The following is a 2,394-nucleotide window of genomic DNA, read 5'->3' as shown; positions in this document are numbered from 1 at the left end:
CTTCCTTGCTCCTCCGCTTGCAGACAGCCTATTGTGAGACCTTCTGATCATGTGAGTTAATACTTAATAAACTCCCTTTGATATCTATCTACCTATTAGTTCTGTCCCTCTAGCATACCCTACAATGTATGTGTTTTTATTTATTTTATTTTTTTAACCTTCCAAAGTTTAATCAACTCCTGAGAAGCAAATATCTAACAATTACTTCAAATACTCTAAAATTCAACCGAGTAAAATCTCAAATTACTTTCTCATCTTCCTAATTCTAACTTTAAAAGGAGTCCCTCCATGAAGTGTCTGCACTTTCACGAGGATGCCAGGGAGGACTCATTGATTTTCACACTGGATAATGTTGAACTGCTCCAGTTTCAGAGACTCATGAAAAAGAGGATTCAGTATGTTAAAATGTTCACATCCCCAAGTTAAAAATGGAGACTGAATAAAACAGCATCCATATTTCTGGAGAAAAATCAGTACACATGTCACTTCTGTTACAGAAATCCATTTACGGCATCTGTCCCGCTCCATGGAAGCAACTGGTCTCAGGCATCTCCAGCTTCACCACCTCATTGCACACATGGGAGGTCTGGAAGGCTTTGAGCAGAAGCCAAGGTCCCATCAAGGTTCCAGACTTTCAGTGCCCCCTTTGTTTTCACTGAGTCTGGGCTGTTTTAGCTCTACGGGACTGTCCTGAGCATTTCCAGGCGTCTCTTACTAAATTCTTCTGCAGAAGGGGTGGAGATTACATTGATTGGTACAGACTTTGGTGGAGTGTCTGTCTTTAAGGGTATTGAGTTTATTCTCCAGGGTGTTGTCTTGCTCCAGGATTGCAGTGTGTTCAGAGTGACCCTCCGGGATGGGTGGGCTTTTGTGTTTTAACTACTGGGCGGCAGGGTCTTCTCCTCCGAAGGCCTCGGCAAGGAGCTTTTGACAGCAGAATGATAGAGGGAGGGTCCCTGGTGGCTGTTGGGGCTGGGGCCTGTCTGGCCTGAGTGGGGGTTGAGCAGGGGTTGCTGGGGTCTTGGGTTCTGCTGGCAGTTGTTCCCTCTACGGGTCTGGGTCCTGGCAAAGACCCTTGGTGTGTCTGACTCTTGGTTTTCTTTGCTGTATCAGGAGTTCTCATGCTCAAAACTGACTTCTCTTTTAAAAGAATTCCAAGTTCACGTTTCTCAAATGTCACAAACGAGCAGTAACTGTCTGTGGAAGAAATGGCCAGGAAGGCGCCATCGCTAGACCATGAAATGTCATTGAGGGTGTGGTAATGTATATTAGACACATAACCGAAAGGGAAGGACTCCTGGGTGTCCAGAAGCACAGAGTCCTCCTAAGCCACAGCAAATACCAGGCGGTAGGGCAGACTCATTAGCTCCGCACCTGTTTCCACCACTGGCCTCAGTTCAAAATAGACCAGACAGCTGCCAACAGCAAGAGTGGCTTTTCCAGGACACGGAAGATGAGCGATGGGCCTTTTAAGATCCTTCCCGGAGAAAACGTAAGTGATGTTCATTACATTTTCACCGGATTCCACACATCTGGCTGGTGTGAGGAGCAAAGATCCATTGGGAGTGAAACTCAGTCTATGGAAGAACAACTTCATGCTGTCATCATGAAACATGCGGTAGCTTCTTGCCTCTCCTTCAGCCCCTATTCCAGATAGCATCTTTGAAACATTAAAAACCACATGCTTCTTCTGTATATTGTATACCTGCAGCACCGTGTCACAGCTCAGAGTAGCAACATATTGACCTAAAGGGTCCCAGTTTATTCCTTGGACATAACTTTTCTGTTATGTTAATTGATATTTTTTGTCCTTTATTGACATCCCATATGATGGCTGTGTCATCCACAGAGGGAGAAGCCATAAAATTCCCATCAGTTGCCCACCAAATATCATACACATCTTCTAAGTGGCCCCGCAGAGTCTTCACAACCATCCAGTTCTCCTTGTTCAACTGGGCCTCGTCCTCATCCTGAAAAGAAATCTGCTCCAGCTCTTTGTTATCATTCACCTTCTACAACAGGATGACAGCATCATCTCCTCCCGATGCTAAAATCTCCCCAGATGGAGAAAAATGCAGGACATTGAAGGCTTTGGTATGACAAGCAAGATTGAACAAAAATTCCATGATGTCGTTTCCATCTAGTCCCTTTTCTACGTTCCAGATCCTGACAACGGAGTCCATGCCTGCAGACATCAGTCTGTGCGTCCTCCCGGCCATCCCATGCTGGAAGTCCAGGCTGTACACAGGCTCTTTGTCATGCCAGGCTACTTCACAAGTGATAACTTTCATCCTCCTGAGTCTTGAAGGTGCAAAACGTTTCTCCGGCACCGTTCTGCAGGGACCAGGATGGTCAGCGGTGCTGTCACCTCCCTTGCAGGGCTGTGCTGCTTCC

At 46.1% G+C, this 2,394-nt stretch overlaps 1 pseudogene; it reads right to left on the bottom strand.

Moving 5' to 3' along the window:
* Positions 1-221: 221 nt before the first annotated feature.
* LOC100130683 (chromatin assembly factor 1 subunit B pseudogene) lies at positions 222-2,394 on the bottom strand (annotated as a pseudogene).

The sequence above is a fragment of the Homo sapiens genome, chromosome 6 (assembly GCF_000001405.40).
Source record: "Homo sapiens chromosome 6, GRCh38.p14 Primary Assembly".
Taxonomy (NCBI): Eukaryota; Metazoa; Chordata; class Mammalia; order Primates; family Hominidae; genus Homo; species Homo sapiens.
This window is presented reverse-complemented; position numbering and strand designations above follow the sequence as displayed.